The sequence below is a fragment of the Homo sapiens genome, chromosome 19, assembly GCF_000001405.40.
Source record: "Homo sapiens chromosome 19, GRCh38.p14 Primary Assembly".
In the NCBI taxonomy this organism is placed as follows: domain Eukaryota; kingdom Metazoa; phylum Chordata; class Mammalia; order Primates; family Hominidae; genus Homo; species Homo sapiens.
This window is the reverse complement of record NC_000019.10, coordinates 45,406,608-45,427,255: the sequence shown is the minus strand read 5'-3', so window position 1 is coordinate 45,427,255 and position 20,648 is coordinate 45,406,608. Positions and strand designations below refer to the sequence as shown.

Here is a 20,648-nt window from a genome sequence, read left to right as displayed (position 1 = left end):
ACCTCTCCTGGCCCCTATATCTTCTAACATTGCAAGAAACAATACTAAGAACCTAGGATTCTGGATTTCCTTTTTCTTTCCTTTCTTTTCTTTCGTTTTTTTGTTTGTTTGTTTGTTTTGTTTTGTTTGTTTTTGGTCTCACTCTGTCACCCAGGCTGGAGTGCAGTGGCACAATCGCAGCTCACTGCAGCCTCTGCCTCCTGGGCTCAAGCAATTCTCCCTCCTCAGCCTCCTGAGTATCTGGGACTACAGGTGCACACCAACACACATAGCTTTTTTTTTTTTTTTTTTTTTTTAGATGGAGTTTCGCTTTTGTCGCCCAGGCTGGAGTACAATTGCGTGATCTTGGCTCACTACAACTTCCACCTCCCGGGTTCAAGTGATTCTCCTGCCTCAGCTTTCCAAAGTGCTGGGATTACAGGCATGAGCTACCTTGCCCAGCCAATTTTTGTGTTTTTTTGTAGAGATGGGGTTTTGTCATGTTGCCCTGGCTGGTCTTGAACTCTGGAGCCCAAGCAATCTGCCCACCTTGGCCTCCTAAATTGTTGGGATTATAGGCATGAGCCACCGCACCCAGCCTAGAATTCTGGATTTCAATTGTTAGGGTGAAAAGAAAAAGGCATTTGAGGTAAGCAAGGTTCAGGACAATAAATCTGGGCAATAGATCAAGACCTTGTCTCAAAAAAAATTTTTTTTTTTTTTTTGAGATGGAGTTTCACTCTTGTTGCCCAGGCTGGAGTGCAATGGTGCGATCTCAGCTCACCGCAACCTTTGCCTCCAGGGTTCAAGCAATTCTCCTGCCTCAGCCTCCTGAGTAGCTGGGATTACAGGCATGTGCCACCATGCCCGGCTAATTTTTTTTTTTTTTTTTTTTTTTGAGACAGAGTCTGGCTCTGTCACCCAGGCTGGAGTCCAGTGGCACAATCTCGGCTCACTGCAGCCTCCGCCTCCCAGGTTCAAGCGATTCTTCTGCCTCAGCCTCCTGAGTAGCTGGGACTACAGGTGTGCGCTACCACGCCCAACTAATTTTAGTATTTTTAGTAAAGACGGGGTTTCACCATATTGGCCAGGCTGGTCTTGAACTCCTGACCTCGTGATCCGCCTGTCTCGGCCTCCCAAAGTGCTGGGATTACAGGTGTGAGCCACTGCACCGGGACTCTAATTTTGTATTTTTAATAGAGATAGGATTTCTCCATGTTGGTCAGGCTGGTCTCGAACTCCTGACCTCAGGTGATCCACCCGCCTAGGCCTCCCAAAGTGCTAGGATTACAGACATTAGCCACCATGCCCAGAAAAAAAAAATTAAGTAAAATGGGAAAATGTAGACACAGATAGACACCCATAGATGAAAGACTGATGTGAACAAAGAAACAGAGGGATGTCATGTACATGCAGGCAAGAATAAATAAAAAGATCAATGAACATAACAGAAATGTCAGAAATAGACGTGTGTGTATGGGAATTTGGTATGTGATAAAGGTAGAATTTCAGAACAGTGGAGAAAAGATCTACCTTTGGTCAACTTGAGACAATTGGTTACATCACTCATAAACAACGACCTCGGTGCACTTTCAAAAATAAATCTTGGCCAGGCACCGTGGCTCATGCTTGTAATCCCAGCACTTTGGGAGGCTGAGGTGGGCAGATCACTTGAGGTCAAGAGTTCGAGACCAGCAGGGCCAACATGGTGAAACTCCGTCTCTACTAAAAATACAAAAGTTAGCCTGTAATCCCAGCTACTTGGGAGGCTGAGGCAGGAGAACTGCTTGAATGTGGGTGGCGGAGGTTGCAGTGAGCCTAGATTGCTCCATTGCACTCCAGCCTAGGCAACAAGAGCAAAACTCCATCTCAAAAAATAATAAATAAATAAATAAATCTTACATAGATTAAAGCCAGATGACCTGCTCATTCTAGGTCATTACTGTTTGGGACCGTGTCTGTGTCCCTCACTGAACTGTAAGCTCTGGGAGGACAACACGGGGCTTTTATCTTTTACGTAGATAAAAGAAATGATAGAATATATCATTATAGCCGTGCACTGTAATCCCAGCACTTTGGGAGGTCACAAAGTGACCTCAGGATCAGCTGAGGTCAGGAGTTTGAGACCAGCCTGGCCAACATGGTGAAACCCCGTCTCTACTAAAAATACAAAAAAAAAAAAAAAAAAAAAAAATTAGCCGGGCATGGTGGCACATGCCTGTAATCCCAGCTACTAAGGAGGCAGGAGAATCGCTTGAACCCGGGAGGGGGAGGTGCAGTGAACTGAGATCGCGCCATTGCACTCCAGCCTGGGTAATAAGAGCGAAACTCCGTCTCGAAAAAAAAAAAAAAAAGAAAAAAAAGAATTTATCATTATGACCCTGGGTTATGGCAGGGCTCTTAACACACCAAAAGCAAAAGTCAGAACGGAACAGATTGATAAATAGTTGCGCATAAACACAAATAACTTCTGTGCCAAAAATAACTAAAGTTAAAGCCCAAAGTAGAAACTAGGAGGAAATGTTTGCAATATGGGTAACTAAGGATTAGAATCAGAATCCATAAAGTACCCCTAGAAATTAATAGTAATAAAAAAGCCATACAACCCATTTTAAAAATGGACAAGGAATATGAGCAAGCAATTCACAGAAGACAAAATTTACAAGACCAATACTTTCACAAAAAACATTCCATTTCCTTAGTAATCAGAGAGCTGCAAGTTAGAACAGTGTGATACTATCCTTTCAGGAAGTGACTAATACTAACTCATCAGCCAGGCCCCTGCTCAGATGTCCCTTCCTCCAGGAAGCCCTTCCGGACTCCGGGGCTGAGTCAGGCGCTCCCCCTGACCCCCATCCCACGGCTCTCCCGGGATCTCCCATCCCAGACCTGCCCATTCTGGGTCAGCACTGGGAACGTGTCTGTGTCCCTTACTGAACCGTAAGCTCCGGGAGGACAACACGGGGCTGTCGTTGGTCACTGCTGTGTCACCAGCACGGACTCGCACAGGACCGGGAAGAGAGGAAGCGCGTGGGGGGAATAGGTGTGGAATAAATGAATGAATGAGGAAACTGAAGCCAAGTCAATGTCTGAGTTGGATTCAAACTTAAGTCTCTCCTTACTGAGAGGAGGGACCAAGTTGGATCTCCTGCGATCTGTTCTCCACTGAGCCCTGCCAGGATTCTGGGCACACAGAAGCGCTCAGTAAGGGCTTTGAAACTTAACAGTTTGGGAGCCAGATCCTCAGGCCACATCTCTCTCCTCCCACGACCTCCGCGGTCCTCCAGAACCATAGAGAGTTGTACAGAGATCGCCCTGCTCTATGCTCTACTCTCCTGGGGAGCGGGGCCAGAGAGGCCGGAAGTGCTGCGAGCCCTGGGCCACGCTGGCCGTGCTGGCAGTGGGCCGCCTCGATCCCTCTGCAGTCTTTCCCTTGAGGCTCCAAGACCAGCAGGTGAGGCCTCGCGGCGCTGAAACCGTGAGGCCCGGACCACAGGTGCGGGAGGCGGAGACTGCGGGTGGAGATTGGCGCCGCGGAAGCCAATCATTGCCGAGTCTGAGAGATGGACAAGGCCAGGCGTGGGGAGGGCGTCCAGATGCTAGCCTCGGGGGCCGGACGAACGGAAGGCGGGGGATGGTGGGGACGGAGCCAATAGAATCCGGTGGGGGCGAGGGGCGGAGCGATGGGACTTGTGGACCTGTAAGGGGCGGGGCGAGCCGAAGGTGGAGGTCAAAGGGGCGTGGCGTTACAGAGCCTCTAGCGCTGGGTGTTGGGGACCTGACGCTATGGAGCTCTCGGAGTTTTGTGGGGGACGGCTGTGAGTGGGGGGTTCCTGCTGCGGGATGAGAACGTAGACGCCAGTGGCTCACTCGCTCCTGGCACCTTCCCTTTCAGGCTCCAGATGGACCCTGGGAAGGACAAAGAGGGGGTGCCCCAGCCCTCAGGGCCGCCAGCAAGGAAGAAATTTGTGATACCCCTCGACGAGGATGAGGTCCCTCCTGGAGTGGTAGGACAAGGAGATGCGGGGCCCCTGGGAGGCTGGGGGCTGTTAGGACGAAGAGGATAGGATGGGGCCTGTGGGACCAGGGTGTGGGTTAGTGGATTTGGGGGCCACGGACGACTTGGGGAAACAGTCCTTGGTCCTCCCCAGGTCCCAGTTTCCCCATCTGTGAAATGGATGGGTGGTTCTAAGAGAGGGCTAAGGCAGAGGCCAGACACTGGCATTCAGCAGGTAGCCCCTGATGTGTTTTACGAGGCCAGCACCCTGATTTTTCAAGACATGAATTTATTGCTCGTGTTTAAGAATCGCCAGGTTTTGCAATCTTAAAAAAATCTACACTTTAGACATATTTTGGTAAATGGAAGGACCTGGCAATATTGAAATCTCCTTCCCAAGGGAAAACAATCGACGGGTGATGAGCATTGGCTATGAAGAAAAGGAAAGTGGGCTAAGGATGTAGGGCATGATGGGGGAGAGGACCTTCCTACTCTATTTATTTATTTATTTATTTATTTTTTTGAGACAGAGTCTCGCTCTTTTGCCCAGGCTGGAGTGCACTGGCACCATCTCGGCTCACTGCAACCTCTGCCTCCTGGGTTCAAGCGATTCTCCTGCCTCAGCCTCCCGAGTAACTGGGATTACAGGAGCGCGCCTGGCTAATTTTTGTATTTTTAGTAGAGACGGGTTTCACCATGTTGGTCAGGCTGGTCTCGAACCTCAAGTGATCCGCCCACCTCGGCCTCCCAAAGTGCTGGGATGTACAGGCATGAGCCACCATGCCTGGCCCCTTCCTACTTTAGATAGGAAGGTCAAGGGAGGGCCTCTCTGAGGAGGTGACATCTTGGTAGAGACGTGAAAGAGGTGAGGGAGTGAGCCATGGCGACATCTGGGGTAGAGGGAACAGCCAGTGCCAAAGCCCTGAGGTCAGAGAGAGCCTGCCGTGTTCAAGGGCAGAACGAAGTCTGGTGGGGCTGGAGTAGAGAAAGCAAGGAGAAGTGGTAGAAGGTGTAGTTTCTGAGGCAAGGAGCAGGGACAGATCTAGAGCCTTGTGGGTGATGGTGACAGCTTTGGCTTTCACTCTGAGGCAGGAGCCACCCACCAGCTCTGAGCAGAGGAGGGACATGAGGACTTAGTTAGGGGACAGACTTCCAGGGGGCGAGGGTGTGGGCAAGGAGCTGGTGAGGAAGTGACTTCAGTGGTCCAAGGGTGAAACGCTGGTGGCTGGGACCAGAGTGGAGGCTGAGGAGTGGGGGAGAAGTGGCTGAATTCAGATTTTGAGCTCTCAGCCTTCTGGAAGGGACATTAGGAGGAAGGAGGATGGGCAGCCCTGAAGAGGGGAGAGGGGTCAAGTGCTGTGGCTCACACCTGTAATCCCAGGACTTTGGGAGGCCGAGGCGGGCGGATCACCTGAGGTCAGGAGTTCGAGATCAGCCTGGACAACATGTTGAAACCCTGTCTCTACTAAAAATACAAAAATTAGCCAGCGTGGTGGTACACGCCTGTAGTCCCAGCTATTTGGGAGGCTGAGACAGGAGAATCGCTTGAACCTGGGGGGCGGAGGTTGCAGTGAGCCGAGATCACGCCACTGCACTCCAGCCTGGGTGACAGAGCAAGACTCCATCTCAAAAAAAAAAAAAAAAAATTAGCTGGGCGTGGTGGTGGGCACCTGTAATCCCAGCTACTTGGGAAGCTGAGGCAGAATTGCTTGAACCCGGGAGGTGGAGGTTGCAATGAGCCAAGATAGTGCCACTACACTCCAGTCTGGGTGACAGAGCAAGACTGTCTCAAAAAAAGAAAAAGAAAGGGGAGAGGAACTCACAGGGCCTCAGATGTCCTCTGCTCACCCCAACCAGTCCCCTGCAAACTCCCTTTCTCCCCACAGGCCAAGCCCTTATTCCGATCTACACAGAGCCTTCCCACTGTGGACACCTCGGCCCAGGCGGCCCCTCAGACCTACGCCGAATATGCCATCTCACAGCCTCTGGAAGGGGCTGGGGCCACGTGCCCCACAGGGTCAGAGCCCCTGGCAGGAGAGACGCCCAACCAGGCCCTGAAACCCGGGGCAAAATCCAACAGCATCATTGTGAGCCCTCGGCAGGTGAGGAGGGAGACGGAGAAGTGAGGCCTTGAGGTTTTCAGTGGGAAACGCTGTTCTAGGGATGACTCCAGTGCAAGGAGGTCTGAGTTCCAGCCACTTTGTTCTCCCCATTCATTCATTCATTCATTCATTCATTCGACAGCAGTGTGTGGGTTGAGAGTGCCCCAGCTCTACTTGCTGGGGCTGTGGCTGTATTGGTGTAGCTCTGTTTCCTCACCCCAGGTTTGTTAATTTATTCAAAATGTACTGAATGAGGCTGGGTGTGGTGGCTCACACCTGTAATCCCAGCACTTTGGAGAGGCTGAGGCAGGTGGATCACCTGAGGTCAGGAGTTCGAGACCAGTCTGGCGAATATGGTGACACCCCATCTCTACTAAAAACACAAAAAGTTGCTGGGCGTGAGGGCAGGAAGTGTTCAGGACCACAGGACACGCAGACTGGGGCTGGAGGGAGAGGGCTGAGCTGGAGACAGACCCGGGGACCCTTTAGGAAAGGCCTGGTGCCAGTGGGCATGGAGGGGAGGAGCCTGGATCAGAGGATCAGGGACTGTCCAGGGTTAGGAGGAGAGAGAAGCTGGAAAAGACCCTGCCACAGGTGGGAGGAGGGAGGAGGTGTGGGAAGAGGTGCGAGGAGGCAGGAGGTGTGGGAAGAGGTGGGAGGAGGGAGGAGGTGCAAGAAGAGGTGGAGGAGGGCCCTGTGGTTATCAAGGGTCATCCCTATTGATGGCTTCTGCCCTTCGTCCCTCCCCAGAGGGGCAATCCCGTACTGAAGTTCGTGCGCAATGTGCCCTGGGAATTTGGCGACGTAATTCCCGACTATGTGCTGGGCCAGAGCACCTGTGCCCTGTTCCTCAGGTGAGCTCTGCGGCGCCACCCCAGACTTCAGGAAGGGCACCCCACTGGCCTGGGAGGGTCATGTCCCAGTGTTCTGGACTGTTCTATGAGAAGCCTCTGGGCATGGTCCTGCAGGTTCTGGGCCTTGGTGGGACCCTGTGTTGGAGGCAGGGGGTCTTGGCCTGGAGGTGCCCAGTGCAACAAGAGCTGGAGCCCGAACTCCTGGGTCTCAGGAAGGAGGGGCTGGGGGCCGGACTCCTGGGTCCGGGGGAGGAGGGGCTGAGGGCTGGACTCCTGGGGATCTGAGGGAGGAGGGGCTGGGGCCTAGACTCCTGGGTCTGAGGCAGGAGGGGCTGGGGGCCTGGACTCCTGGGGTCTCAGGGAGGAGGGGCTGGGGGCCTGGACTCCTGGGGTCTCAGGGAGGAGGGGCTGGGGGCCTGGACTCCTGGGTCTAAGGGAGGAGGGGCTGGGGCCAGATTCCTGGGTCTAAGGGAGGAGGGGCTGGGCCCAGACTCCTGGATCTGACGGAGGAGGGACTGGGTCACTCATGTCCCAGACATCCTTGACTGGAGTTGATGAGAAGCAGGATTTCTCCCATCTCTACCCTAGTTAAACAACTTTCCCCTCCAACCTAGGGGCCCCTCTGCAGACAGGGCCAGACAGAGGAAGTGAAACCTCTGAGTTCCTGTGCTCCCTGCAGGCTGTGACAGCTGCAGACTGCTGGGCAGAGCCAGTCCTAGTTCCCTGGGTCATGAAGCCCTCACCGTAGCCCTCCAAGGCCAGAGCAGATGGTTTGGCAGTGGGCCCTGCTTCCCACCGCGAGCCATGCAGTGTCCCCGTGCCCACACTCTCTAGGGCCCCTGGCACCTGTTCTCCCCTTGAAGCCCAAGTCTCTTCCCCTCTTCATGAAGAAGCCAGGGGTCTGGTCTTCTAGGTAAGCACAGCCATGTGGCCCTGGCTGCCAATCCCTGCGGAGCATCTTCTTGGAAGAGTGACCTGGGGCAAGTGACTTACCCTCTGTGGGCCTCAGGACCCTCTGTCCCCCATGCCGTACTCTGAGCCCTTAGTATTCCAGTGAGAGGGAAAAGGGCTTTGGGGGTCTTGAAGAGACTGAGACCTCTCAACTCCCGCTCCCTGCCCCCACCAGCCTCCGCTACCACAACCTGCACCCAGACTACATCCATGGGCGGCTGCAGAGCCTGGGGAAGAACTTCGCCTTGCGGGTCCTGCTTGTCCAGGTGGATGTGGTAAGCAGGGGCTGCTCCCTAGCCAGCCTCACCGGGCTTTGAGGTTGTGCAGTGGGCTGTTGAATCCCTTCCAAGAGGAAATGCAGCTAAAACCTCAGCGAGGAACGTTTTTCACATCTGAGATGACATGGGTCACCAAGACATTATGTTGGCAAGGAGAGGGGAGGGCAAAATTGTCTATTTCCTCTTTCCCCACATCCCCTTCAATTAGTCCCAGATCTCTGCCACCTAAATATCTCTTCTTTTTGTTTTGTGTTTGTTTGTTTGTTTGTTTGAGACGGAGTTTCGCTCTTGTTGCCCAGGCTGGAGTGCAATGACTTGATCTTGGCTCACTGCAGCCTTCACCTCTGGGGTTCAAGCGATTCTCCTGCCTCAGCCTTCTGAGTAGCTGGGATTATAGGCATGCACCACCACGCCCGGCTGATTTTTGTATTTTTAGTAGAGACTGGTTTTCACCATGTTGGCCAGGCTGGTCTTGAACTCCTGACCTCAGGTGATCCACCCACCTCAGCCTCCCAAAGGCTGGGATTACAGGCATGAGCCACCGTGCCTGGCCATATCTCTCTCTTTTATTTTTTTAAGACGGAGTCTCCTCTGTCGCCCAGGCTGGAGTGCAATGGCCAGATCTTAGCCCACTGCAACCTCTGCCTCCTGGGTTCAAACGATTCTCCTGCCTCAGCCTCTCGAGCAACTGGGATGACACCATGCCTTGCTAATTTTTATTGATTGATTGATTGATTGATTGTTTTGAGACAGAGTCTCGCTCTTTCGCCCAGACTGGAGTGTAGTGGTGCAATCTTGGCTCACTGCAACCTCCACCTCCTGGATTCAGGTGATTCTCCTGACTCAGCCTCCTGAATAGCTGGGATTACAGGTGCGTACCACCATGACCGGCTAATTTTTTGTATTTTTAGTAGAGATGCGGTTTCACCATGTTGGTCAGGCTGGTCTTGAACTTCTGATCTCAGGTGATCCTAAAGTGTTGGGATTACAGGTGTGAGCCACCCCCACCAGGTGATTTTTTTTTTTAATTTTTAGAGACAGGGTCTTGCTATGTTACCCAGTCTGGTCTTGAACTCCTGGCCTCAAGCATTCCTCTTCCATTGGGTTGGGTGCAGTGGCTCATGCCTGTAATCCTAGCTCTTTGAGAGGCTGAGGCAGGAGGATCACTTGAGGCCAAGAGTTCGAGACTAGTCTGGGCAACATAGTGAAGACCCCCATCTCTACAAAATACAAAAAATATGGTGGTGGGCACCTATAGTCCCAGCTACTCAGGAGGCTGAGGCAGGAGAATTGCTTGAACCCGGGAGGTGGAGGTTGCAATGAGCCAAGATCATGTCACTGCACTCCAGCCTGGGCAACAGAGCGAGACTCCGTCTGAAAAAAATTAAAAAGATCATAAAACTCACATGGCTCCTAAGCACCCTAGGAGAAAGTTCTGCTCCCTTCCATGACCTATGGGGCCCTGTGTGACCTCCAACCTCTACCCAGTTCTCCAGGCCCGTCTCTAAGATTCCATGCTCCTCATGGAATTTCACATCCTCTCTCCCGTAGGGAGCGAATTATAATTCCTCAAGCCCTCTTTCCCCTCCCATCCTTTGCCCATGCTGTTCTTTATGTCTGGAATTCCCTTTTCTGGTCTCCTTTTCATCCTTTCCTCCTCCTCATCCTCCTTTGGGTCTCAGCTCTAATGTCCCCTCCTCCAAGAAGCCCTCCCTGATCCCCCAGGCAGGCTCAGTCCCTCCTCTGGCTCCCACATCGCAGCCCTGGCCACTCCAGATCATCAGTGTCTGGGGACAGGTCTGTCCTGCTCATCAGACTGTGAGCCCTGGGAGGGCAGAGTCAGGGCTGTCTCAGCCACTGCTGGGTCCTAGCACTGCTTAGCACGGGCCAGGCACCCAGTAGGAGCTTAGAGAGTGACAATTGGGTGAGAGGCTCTTGGCATCCTGAGCTACTGTGTTTTCAGGCTTTAATTCTTTTTTTGTTCTTCTTTTTTTTTTTGAGACAGAGTCTCACCCTGTCGCCCAGGTTGGAGTGCAGTGGCGCGATCTTGGCTCACTGCAACGTCTGCCTCCCGGGTTCAAGCAGTTCCCCCACCTCAGCTTCCCTAGTAGCTGGGATTACAGGCACCTGCCACCACGCCTGGCTAATTTTTGTAATTCCTGGCTTCTAGGTTTCTAATTCTGATTTTCTCCTCCAGAAAGATCCCCAGCAGGCCCTCAAGGAGCTGGCTAAGATGTGTATCCTGGCCGACTGCACATTGATCCTCGCCTGGAGGTGAGATGAGGGCTTCCCTGCCTCATTCAGGCTCCACCTGGGATTGGTCCCTGCTCCCCCATCCCACCCTGCCCAGCCCTTCCCTTCTCCTTCCTGTGTGGGCCTGGTGCAGGCACTGCCTCTCTCTGGCCTTCAGTTTCCTCATCTGTAAAACAAGGTCTTAATTTTTTTTTTTTTTTTTTTGATACAGAGCCTCACTCTGTCCCCTAGGCTGAAGTGCAGTGGCACGATCTCGGCTCTGCCTTGGGGGTTCAAGCAATTCTGCCTCAGCCTCCCAAGTAGCTGGGATTACAGGTGTGCACCACCACGCCCAGCTAATTTTTTTGTATTTTTAGTAGGGACGGGTTTTGCCATGTTGGCCAGGCTGGTCTTGAAATCCTGACCTCAGGTGATCCTCCCGCCTTACCCTCCCAAAGTGCTGGGATTACAGGCGTGAGCCACTGTGCCCGGTTGGAAGCTGAACATTTCATGAGGTTGGCTTCTTGCTGCAGCGGGAAAATAAGCAGTGTTTCTGGTTTTCCTCCTGTCAAACCCAGTACAAACACTTTGTGTGCTGACTTCCCTTCCAAAATAGCTAACATTTCTTCAGCAGTGCCAGGCGTGGCTTTTGGCACTTACAGAGCATTCCAGAGTATTCTCTGATCTTCAAAGTCATACCATCCTCCCCACTTTATTATTATTTTTTTGAGACAGGGTCTTGCTCTTTTGCTGAGGCTGGAGTGCAGTGGTGCTATCACAGGTTACTGAAGCCTCAACTTGACAGGCTCAGGCAGTCCTCCTGCCTCAGCCTCCCGAGCAGCTGAGACTAAAGGCACGCGCCACCACACCTGGCTAATTTTTAATTTTTTGTGGAGACAACACCTTGCTATGTTGTCCCGGCTGGTCTTGAACTCCTGAGCTCAAGTGATCCTCCTGCCTCAGCCTCCCAAAGTGCTGGGATTACAAGCATGAGCCACTATGCCTGACCACCCCACTTTACAGTGAGGAAACAGGCCCAGAGAGCAAACCACTGGCCCAGGGTTACCCAGGGAGAAGTGGGGTTGGGCTCCCAAGAGCTGGCCTGTAGCCAGAAAAGATATCAAGATGCGCCCAGCAGTGGTTACTACCAGGTTGTATTTGGCGGGGGATGGGCTGGAATTTTGATTTTTAGCAACCACAATTGTTTTTTTTTTTTTTTTTTTTTTTGAGACGGAGTCTGGCTCTGTCGCCCAGGCTGGAGTGCAGTGGCGTGATCTCGGCTCATTGCAAACTCCACCTCCCGGGTTCACGCCATTCTCATGCCTCAGCCTCCTGAAAAGCTGGGACTACAGGCGCCCGCTACCACGCCCGGCTAATTTTTTGTATTTTTAGTAGAGATGGGGTTTCACCATGTTAGTCGGGATGGTCTCGATCTCCTGACCTGGTGATCTGCTCACCTCAGCCTCCCAAAGTGCTGGGATTATAGGCGTGAGCCACCACACCCGGCCTTTTTTTTTTTTTTTTTCTGAAATGGAGTTTCACTCTTGTTGCCCAAGCGGGAGTGCAATGGCGTGATCTTGGCTCACTGCAACCTCCGCCTCCCGGGTTCAGGCGATTCTCCTGCCTCAGCCTCCTGAGTAGCTGGGACTACAGGCACGCGCCACCAAGCCCAGCTACTTTTTTGTATTTTTAGTAGAAACGAGGTTTCACCATGTTGGCCAGGCTGGTCTCGAACTCCTGACCTCAGATGATCTGCCTGCCTCATCATCCCAAAGTGCTGGGATTACAGGCGTGAGCCACCGCGCCCGGCCTAGTATTGGCAATTCTTATGACTGACCATAATGAAGCAAATCTATAATCTGATACCTCACCTCCCGGCTGCCCTGTATCCTGTTATCCCAGCCCCGAGGAAGCTGGGCGGTACCTGGAGACCTACAAGGCCTATGAGCAGAAACCAGCGGACCTCCTGATGGAGAAGCTAGAGCAGGACTTCGTCTCCCGGGTGAGGCCACCTCACCTCCCATCCCTGCCTGGGCCTCCCCGCAGCTCCTGGGTGGTTGAGCTTCAGTTCCAATTTTAAGGCACTGTCCATTCATCCCTGGGCCTCGTCTTTCCTGGCCCATCCCACCGAAACTGCAGCTAGAGGGGTTTTCCTGAGCACAAATCTGCTGCTACCCTCCCTAGCTCAAAATCCTCCCATGGCTCCCCAGTACCCCGAGAGAAAGCCCAGACTTCTCACCAGGCTCAACAAGGGCCCGTCAGGCTCAGAAGCCCCGTGGCCTCCACTTCACACTTCACTTCTCCCAGGCCTAGCTCGCTTCTCCAAGCACTTGCCCCTTCTGTTCCCTCTGCCCAATTACCTGCCTAATTCCTTTTTTTTTTTTTTGAGATGGAGTCTCACTCTCTTGCCCAGGCTGGAGTGCAATGACATGATCTCGGCTCACTGCAACCTCTGCCTCCCAGGTTCAAGTGATTCTCCTGCCTGAGCCTCCTGAGTAGCTGGGACTACAGGTGCCCACAACCATGCCTGTCTAATTTTTGTATTTTTTAGTAAAGATGGGGTTTCAGTGTGTTGGCCAGGCTGGTCTTGAACTCCTGGCCTCAGGTGATCCTCCCGCCTCGGCCTCGAAAGTGCTGGGATTATTAGGCATGAGCCACCACGCCCAGCCTGAGATGACTTTTTAATCAGTTGGGAAAAAAAGCGTTTATTGAGTGCTTCCTGCACGCCAGGCAGTCTGGGGACACAGCTGTGACCCAGCCCTGCCCTCCTAGGCTCAGTCTTGCTGGCCTTTCTTCTTCCGACACACTCCTGCCTCCACCCTTTCCAGGTGACTGAATGTCTGACCACCGTGAAGTCAGTCAACAAAACGGACAGTCAGACCCTCCTGACCACATTTGGAGTAAGGAATGGCTCCCCTGCCCCATAGGCATTTCTGTCCCCTTGCCTTTTTTAGAAAGCCTGTCACCCATTTCCTTCCATCTCCCTGCCCACCCCTTGCCCGTCCTGCCTTCCCACAGGCCCTCATCTCCCCTGGGGAATATCTGAGGCCCCTCCTCAGCTGGGACAGGGGAGGCTTTTGTGCTCAACTGCCCTGACCCCTCGCTTTCACCTTTCAGTCTCTGGAACAGCTCATCGCCGCATCAAGAGAAGATCTGGCCTTATGCCCAGGCCTGGGCCCTCAGAAAGTAAGAGCTCTGGGAAAGAACCCAAGGAGTTGGGGGAAGGAGAGAGCCCCAAATAAACACAACCTGAGACCCCAAAGTTTTAAGGTGAAAAAAGAACCAAAGACCAGACACAGTGGCTTCCGCCTGTAATCCCAACATTTTGGGAGGCCAAGGCGGGAGGACTGCTTGAGGCCAGAAGTTGGAGACCAGCCTGGGCAAGTGGACACCTCATTTTTACTAAAAATAAAAAAAACTAGCTGGGCATGGTGGTGTGAGCTTGCTACGTGCCTGTAGTCTCAGCTACTGGGGAGACTGAGGTGGGAGGATCGCTTGAGCCCAGGAGGTTGAGGCTGCAGTGAGCTATAAGCATGTTACTACGCTCCAGCCTGGGTGACAGAGCGATCCTGTCTCAAAGCAGAAGCAATCCAATGAGGAAGAATGAAACTAGATAGCTATCTCTCGCCATATACAAAAATCAAATTAAAATGGATTACAGACTTAAATCTAAGACCTCAATGCATGAAACGTCTACAAGAAAACATTGAGAAGCTCTCCAGGACATTGAACTGGGCAGAGATTTCTTGAGTAATGCCCTATAAGCATAGGAAACTAAAGCAAAATGGACAAATGGGATCACATCAAATTAAAAAGCTTCTAAGCCAGGTGCGGTGGCTTGGGCCTGTAATCCCAGCACTTTGAGAGGCTGAGGCGGCTGGATCACCTGAGGTCAGGAGTTTGGGACCAGCCTGGCCAACATGGAGACACCCCATCTTTACTAAAAATACAAAAAAGTAGCCAGGTATGGTGGCACATGCCTGTAATCCCAGCTACTTGGAAGGCTGAGGCAGGACAATCGTTTGAACCCGGGAGGTGGAGGTTGCAGTGAGCCAAGATAGCGCCATTGCACTCCAGCCTGGACAATAAGAGTGAAACTCTATCTCAAAAATTAAAAAAAAAAAAAAGAATAAAAGGCTTCTGCACAGCAAACATTCCACAAAGTGAAGAGACAACACACAGGATGGGAGAAAATATCTGCAAACTAACCATCTGACAAGGAATCAATAATCAGAAGATAAGAGTTCTAACAACTCTATAGGATAAAATATAATAATCCAATCAAAAAGTGGGCAAAATATTTGAATTAACATTTCTCAAAAGACATACAAATGGCAAGCAGGCATATGAAAAGGTGCTCAGCATCATTGATCATCAGAAAAATGCAAATCAAAACTACAGTGAGGCTGGGTGCAGTGGCTCATGCCTGTAATCCCAGCACTTTGGGAGGCCGAGGCGGGCAGATCACTTGAGGCCAGGAGTTCAAGATCAGCCTGGCCAACATGGCGAAACCCCATCTCTACTAAAAATATAAAAATTAGTTGGGTGTGGTGGCGCATGCTTGTAATCCCAGCTACTTGAGTGGCTGAGGCAGGAGAATCTCTTGAACCCGGGAGACGGAGGTTGCAGTGAGCTGAAATCACACCACTGCCCTCCAGCCTGGACAACAGAAGCAAAACTCCATCTCAAAAAAAACCAAAAATAGGCCGGGCATGGTGGCTCACGCCTGTAATCCCAACACTTTGGGAGGCCGAGGCGGGTGGATCGTGAGGTCAGGAGATTGAGACCATCATGGCTAACATGGTGAAACCCCGTCTCTACTAAAAATACAAAAAAAAATTAGCTGGGTGTGGTGGTGGGCACCTGTAGTCCCAGCTACTCGGGAGGCTGAGGCAGGAGAATGGCATGAACCTGGGAGGCAGAGCTTGCAGTGAGCCGAGATCATACCACTGCACTCCAGCCTGGGTGACAGAGTGAGACTCCATCTCAAAAAAGAAAACCAAAAACCAAAAATAAACTATAATGAGATACCATCTCAGCTCTATTAAAATGGCTTATTATTATTTTTTGAGATGGAGTCTCACTCTGTTGCCCAGGCTGGAGTGCAATGGCATGATCTCAGCTCACTGCAACCTCCGTCTCCTGGATCCAAGCGATTCTCCTGCCTCAGCCTCCTGAGTAGATGGGATTACAGGCACTCGCTACCATGCCCAGCTAGTTTTTGTATTTTTAGTAGAGATGGGGTTTCCCTAGGTTGGTCAGGCTGGTCTTGAACTCCTGACCTCTGGTGATCCACCCACCTCGGTCTCCCAAAGTGCCGGGATTACAGGTGTGAGCCATGGTGCCCGGCCTTAAAATGGCTTTTATCCAAAGGACAGGCAATAACAAATGGTGGACAGGCAATAACAAATGGTGGCGAGGATGTGAAGAAAAGGGAACCCTCATATACTTTTGATGGGAATGTAAATCAGTACAACCACTATGGAAAACAGTTTGGAGGCTCCTCTAAAAACTGAAAAGTTGAGGTTCCACATGATCCAGCAATCCCACTGCTGGGTATATCCCCAAAAAAAGGAAATCAGTGTATGGAACAGGTATCTGCACTCCTGTTTGTTGCAGCACAGTTCACATTGCCAAAACTTAGAACCAACCTGTGTCCATCAGCAGATGACCAGGCAAAGAAAATGTGGTACTTACACACAATGGATACTCTTCAGCCATAAAAAAGAATGAGATCCTGGCTGGGCGCGGTGGCTCACACCTCTAATCCCAGCACTTTGGGAGGCCGAGGCGGGCAGATCACTTGAGGCCAGAAGTTCAAGACCAGCCTGGCCAACGTGGTGAAACCTTGTCTCTACTAAAAATGAAAAAATGAGCTGGGTGTGGTGGCGCGTGCCTGTAATCACAACTACTTGGGAGGCTGAGGCAGGAGAATCGCTTGAATCCGGGAGGCGGAGGTTGCAGTGAGCCAAGATTGTGCCACTGCACTCCAGCCTGGGCGACAGAGCGAGACCCTTTTCAAAACAAAACAAAACAAAACAAAAAAAACATGAGATCCTGTCAATTACAACATAATGAACTGGGGATTATTATGTTAAGTGAAATAAGCCAGGCACAGAAAGACAAACATTGCATGTTCTTATTTATTTGTGTATCTAAAAATCAAAACAATTGAACTCATGGAGATAAGAGTGGATGGATAGTTCCTGGAGGCTGGGGAGGGTAGTTAGGGGCTGGCAGGGAGATGGGGAAGGTTAATGGGTACCACACACACACACACACACACACACACACACAAAGAAAGAATGAATAAGACATACTATTTGATAACACAACCAGGTGACTATAGTCAATAATAATGGTACATTTTAAAATAACTTGGCAGGGTGCGGTGGCTCACACCTGTTATCCTAGCACTTTGGGAGGTCAAGGCAGGTGGATCACGAGGTCAGGAGTTCGAGACCAGCCTGGCCAATATGGTGAAACCCCTGTCTCTACTAAAAATACAAAAATTAGCCGGGTATAGTGGTGGGCACCTTTAGGCCCAGCTACTCGGGAGGCTGAGGCAGGAGAATCGTTGGAACCCAGGAGGCGGAGGTTGCAGTGAGCCAAGATCACACCACTGCACTCCAGCCTGGGTGACACCAGGAGACTGTCTCAAAAAAATAATAATAACTTAGCCAGGCGCAGTGGCTCACACCTATAATCCCAGCACTGGGAGGCTGAGGCAGGCGCATCAGGAGGTCAGGAGATCGAGACCATCCTGGCTAACGTGGTGAAACCCCATCTCTACTAAAAAAAAATACAAAAAATTAGCTGGGCAGGGGCCTGTAGTCCCAGCTACTCAGGAGGCTGAGGCAGGAGAATGGCGTGAACCCGGGAGGCGGAGCTTGCAGTGAGCCGAGATTGCGCCACTGCACTCCAACCTGGGCGACAGAGCGAGACTCCATCTCAAAAAAAAAAAAAATAATAATAATAATAATAACTTAAAAAGATTGTAACTGGATTGTTTGTAACTCAATGGATAAATGCTTGAGGGTATAGGGGAAAATAAAGAACCAAAACCCCACTCTAGATTTACCCAGGAAACAGCTCCTTTAATGACTGGTTCCTCATTTTTTTCTCCCTCCCATCCAGGCCCGGAGGCTGTTTGATGTCCTGCACGAGCCCTTCTTGAAAGTACCCTGATGACCCCAGCTGCCAAGGAAACCCCCAGTGTAATAATAAATCGTCCTCCCAGGCCAGGCTCCTGCTGGCTGCGCTGGTGCAGTCTCTGGGGAGGGATTCTGGGGGTGTCACCTTCTGGTGGCCCAGGTGGGCACCTTCAGCTTTCTTTAGTTCCTCAGTTTCCCGGGGGCAGACTACACAGGCTGCTGCTGCTGCTGCTTCCGCTTCTTGTCCCGGCCTGTGGGAGCCTCCTCCCCAGACTCTGAATTCAGTGGCGGCCCTGGCATCTCCTCTTGGGGCACTGTCTCTGGCATCCGGCTTTCCTGACTCTGCTTCTTCCTCTTCTTGGTGGATCCCGGAGTTGCCCTGGCTTCAGGCTGTCCCTCCCCTGGCAGTTCAGGCTCTAGTGGCTGAATTGGCTCAGTCACTGTGTGACCTCTCTCTTTCTTCTTCTTCTTCTTCTTGGTGGATGTGGGAGCTGCCTGAGGCTCAAGGTCATCCGGCAGCTCAGGCCCCACCACCTCTGTCTCTGGCTCCACTGTGGCATCTTGCTGTTTTTCTTTCTTCGTCTTCTTTTTGGGAGCTGCCAGAGCTGCCTGGGCCTGAGGCTTCGCTCCTTCTGGCTGTTGAGGCGCCATGGTCCCCCCTGGGGACTCCAGAGGCTTCATCTCCGGCTCCACTGGCTCCATCGCCTCCGTCCCTGGCTCCATCATTGCCATCTGTCCCTTTTCTTTTTTCCTCTTCTTCGTAGGGGGCAGAGGGATGGCTTCCTCCAGTGGCTCCACCTTCACCTGTGGCTGAGACTCAACTGTCACCCCCTCCTCTGGCTCCATCCCTTCCGTCCCCTTTTGCCTCTTTCTCTTTTTGGTCGGGGACAGGACTGTGTCTTCTAGAGGCTCAGTGTTAATCTGTTCCTGCTTCACTGTCTTGTCTTCTGGCTCGAAGGTTTCTTTCCCTTTGGGCTTCTTCCTCTTCTTGGTGGTGGACGGGAACAGCACTCCCAGAGGCTCCAGTGTCTCCACTGTGGGCTCTGTCCCCACAGGCCCTGCTGCCTCTGGTTCTTTCAGCTGCTGATTTTTTTTCTTCTTCTTCTTCCGCACATCCATTTCTGGCGACCCCAAAGCCATGTCCACCTCCAGGGCCCCGTGCCCATTCACTGCCTCCTGAGTGACTGGGGCCTCTGTCACCTGCATCTCCTTTTTCTTCTTCCCTGAGGTGAGCAGGTTGGGGGCCAAGGCTGACCTAGGCCCTGTGACTGGTGGGTTGCCCCCAAAGGCACAGAACCGAGGCCTCAGGCCAGGAGGGATCTGTGGTGGGGGACTTGCTGGGATGGGCTGCAGAGGGCTCCCTGACAGGGATTGCTGGGGACCCTCAAGGATCCTTAGGGTGCCCTGGGGGGCTGAGGCACAGGTGAGTCCACCTCCTGCCTCCGTTGAGGGGGCCAGCAGGGTCGCTTCTCCAGCTTGGGGACAGCTGCTGAGGACTCGATAGCGGTGCCGCTTGCCTGCCAATTTGCCCTTGACGATCTGGGAGCCAGAGAGAGGCACATGCCGCCCATTGAAGCTACAGAGAGAAACAGGGAGGGCAGAGGCTTAAGTGGAACAGGAGAGGGAAGGTTTTTTGATTTTTTTTTTGTTTTTTTTTGAGAGAGTCTTGCTCTGTTGCCTAGGCTGGAGTGCAGTGGCATGATCTCGGCTCACTGCAATGTCCACCTCCTGGGTTCAAGCGATTCTCCTGCCTCAGCCTCTCAAGTAGCTGGGATTACAGGCACCTGCCACCACGCCCAGCCAATTTTTGTATTTTTAGTAGAGACAATTTCACTATGTTGGCCAGGCTGGTCTTGAACTCCTGACCTCAAGTGATCTGCTCGCCTCGGCCTCCCAAAGGATGGGATTACAGGCACCAGCCACTGCGCCTGGCTGGCCTCTGGTTTTTAATAAAACATGACTAGAGTGACTCCATCTTAAAGTGAGTAGCTAGGCACTTACAAGGTTCATGCTTATGGCCTGAAAATAACCACATCCCAGGCTGACCACCAATTATAATTACAGAATATTTATGGCCATACAGAACATGTTCCACCAAGCCTGCAGAATGTCCAAATGTCCTAAGAATGCAGCCCCCATTACTTAAATATAACATAAATGAGCAAGCTTAGGTTGCAGGATTAATGGTCGTGGATAACACCAATAGCCCCTACCTTTAGTGAGCTTATCTGCACACTCCAAGTTTAACTATAGTTCCTTATAGTTTCTTATAAGTAGAAATACTAACAAAGGGCTGTGGGTTTCTCCCCCTGCTTTCTGAGGACACTCTACTCTGTAAAGGAGTAGTTTCCAATAAACTTGTTTCTTTCACTGTGCTCTGTGACTCACCTCTAATTCTTTCCTGTGACAAATTCAAGAACCCGCTCTTGGGGTCTGGACCGGGACCCTCTTTTCCGTCAACAAGACCACTCACCATTCTGGGGCAAAGTCTGCAGGGGCCTGAATAAGCCACAGCTCCGTATCTGGACCCGTCAGCGCCTCCAAGGAGAAACGAGGGGACTCTGAGGCTGGGGGCTTCGCGGTAAAGTTGGGGGGACAAGAGAACCGAGCAGCATCTGCAGCAGAAGGGGAAATGGGGTCGACTGACACCTCCTTGCCGGTCCAATCTTGCAGGGCGCGCCTATCGGTCCATTGGTCTTAACCTCGTGAGCACTCCAGTCCCCTCAACCTGGTTTCTCCTTTCTGCCCACCTGTTCCCCAGGGGCGACCTCAATTTCACCGATCCAACCCCTGGGGGCGCCTTGCTCTCCACGGGTAGCCCCCCACAAGATAACCCTCTCTCCGTTCGAATTCCCGTTCGCCCACTGGGAATGCACGCTCTTCGCAAGTCCTGCTTGCAGGTACGCCTCCTTTTCCGCCCGAACCCTCTCGGACGCCCCTTTCTCCTTCCACCAACGCACCCTCCGCACCCCGTCAACCCGCACCCTCACCGCCGGCCTGGGGCTCCTCCATCCTGGGACCCACACCTCAGGCAACCCTGTAGCCCGGGCTGCTCGCACCAGGTTGCAGACCACGTGGATCCAAAGGGGTAGGGCATCATC

General features: G+C 52.2%; 2 protein-coding genes across 17 annotated transcripts in view, besides 4 other annotated features; one reads left to right on the top strand and one right to left on the bottom strand.

The window, feature by feature from the left end:
* Positions 1-19,922, top strand: part of ERCC1 (ERCC excision repair 1, endonuclease non-catalytic subunit) — a 44,214-nt gene extending 24,292 nt beyond the window's left edge. For 3 of the 15 annotated variants that reach the window (NM_001369412.1, NM_001369413.1, NM_001369414.1), the window contains 9 exons: positions 3,875-3,986; positions 5,863-6,078; positions 6,829-6,932; positions 8,059-8,158; positions 10,359-10,435; positions 12,296-12,395; positions 13,222-13,293; positions 13,511-13,579; positions 17,531-19,922. In NM_001369412.1, the coding sequence (NP_001356341.1) occupies positions 3,882-3,986; positions 5,863-6,078; positions 6,829-6,932; positions 8,059-8,158; positions 10,359-10,435; positions 12,296-12,395; positions 13,222-13,293; positions 13,511-13,579; positions 17,531-17,581 (894 nt within the window). In that variant the 5' untranslated portion in view covers positions 3,875-3,881 and the 3' untranslated portion in view covers positions 17,582-19,922. Of the gene's footprint in view, positions 1-3,338; positions 3,476-3,727; positions 3,987-5,862; positions 6,079-6,828; positions 6,933-8,058; positions 8,159-10,358; positions 10,436-12,295; positions 12,396-13,221; positions 13,294-13,510; positions 14,546-17,530 lie in introns of those variants that run through there. The other 12 variants (NM_001369415.1, NM_001983.4, NM_001369418.1 and 9 more) reach the window with 12 other exon arrangements.
* Positions 2,611-2,905: an enhancer, noted in NCBI's record as "tiled region #13779; HepG2 Activating DNase unmatched - State 1:Tss, and K562 Activating DNase unmatched - State 1:Tss". NCBI's record gives its function as "activates a minimal TATA promoter and a strong SV40 promoter by Sharpr-MPRA in HepG2 and K562 cells {active_cell/tissue: HepG2 | K562}" and the evidence as "EXISTENCE:reporter gene assay evidence [ECO:0000049][PMID:27701403]".
* Positions 3,154-3,203: an enhancer, noted in NCBI's record as "active region_14796". NCBI's record gives its function as "activates an Ori minimal core promoter by ATAC-STARR-seq in GM12878 lymphoblastoid cells {active_cell/tissue: GM12878}" and the evidence as "EXISTENCE:reporter gene assay evidence [ECO:0000049][PMID:35858748]".
* Positions 3,264-3,353: an enhancer, noted in NCBI's record as "active region_14795". NCBI's record gives its function as "activates an Ori minimal core promoter by ATAC-STARR-seq in GM12878 lymphoblastoid cells {active_cell/tissue: GM12878}" and the evidence as "EXISTENCE:reporter gene assay evidence [ECO:0000049][PMID:35858748]".
* Positions 6,948-7,448: an enhancer, noted in NCBI's record as "H3K4me1 hESC enhancer chr19:45923066-45923566 (GRCh37/hg19 assembly coordinates)". NCBI's record gives its function as "activates a minimal SCP1, AML or CMV promoter by ChIP-STARR-seq in primed H9 embryonic stem cells {active_cell/tissue: H9 hESC(primed)}" and the evidence as "EXISTENCE:reporter gene assay evidence [ECO:0000049][PMID:30033119]".
* POLR1G (RNA polymerase I subunit G) lies at positions 16,519-20,612 on the bottom strand. Of its 2 annotated transcripts, none has more exons than NM_001297590.3 (3): positions 20,532-20,612; positions 20,021-20,162; positions 16,519-19,123 (listed from the first exon to the last, which is right to left on the bottom strand). In NM_001297590.3, exons 1-3 carry the CDS (start codon positions 20,557-20,559, stop codon positions 17,755-17,757), a joined length of 1,539 nt encoding a protein of 512 aa, NP_001284519.1. In that variant the 5' UTR covers positions 20,560-20,612; the 3' UTR covers positions 16,519-17,754. The 2 variants fall into 2 exon arrangements, with proteins under 2 accessions (NP_001284519.1, NP_036231.1); NM_012099.3 differs by having other exon boundaries at positions 20,538-20,612.

Excerpts from the sequence above, each read along its gene's own strand:
- POLR1G (NM_001297590.3), bottom strand. The coding sequence starts at position 20,559 with ATGGAGGAGCCCCAGGCCGGCGGTGAGG. Across the intron at positions 20,163-20,531 it reads GCCCCAGGCCGGCGGTGAGG|ATGCTGCTCGGTTCTCTTGT; the intron begins GTGCGGGTTGAC and ends CTTCTGCTGCAG. Across the intron at positions 19,124-20,020 it reads GCAGACTTTGCCCCAGAATG|CTTCAATGGGCGGCATGTGC; the intron begins GTGAGTGGTCTT and ends TTCTCTCTGTAG.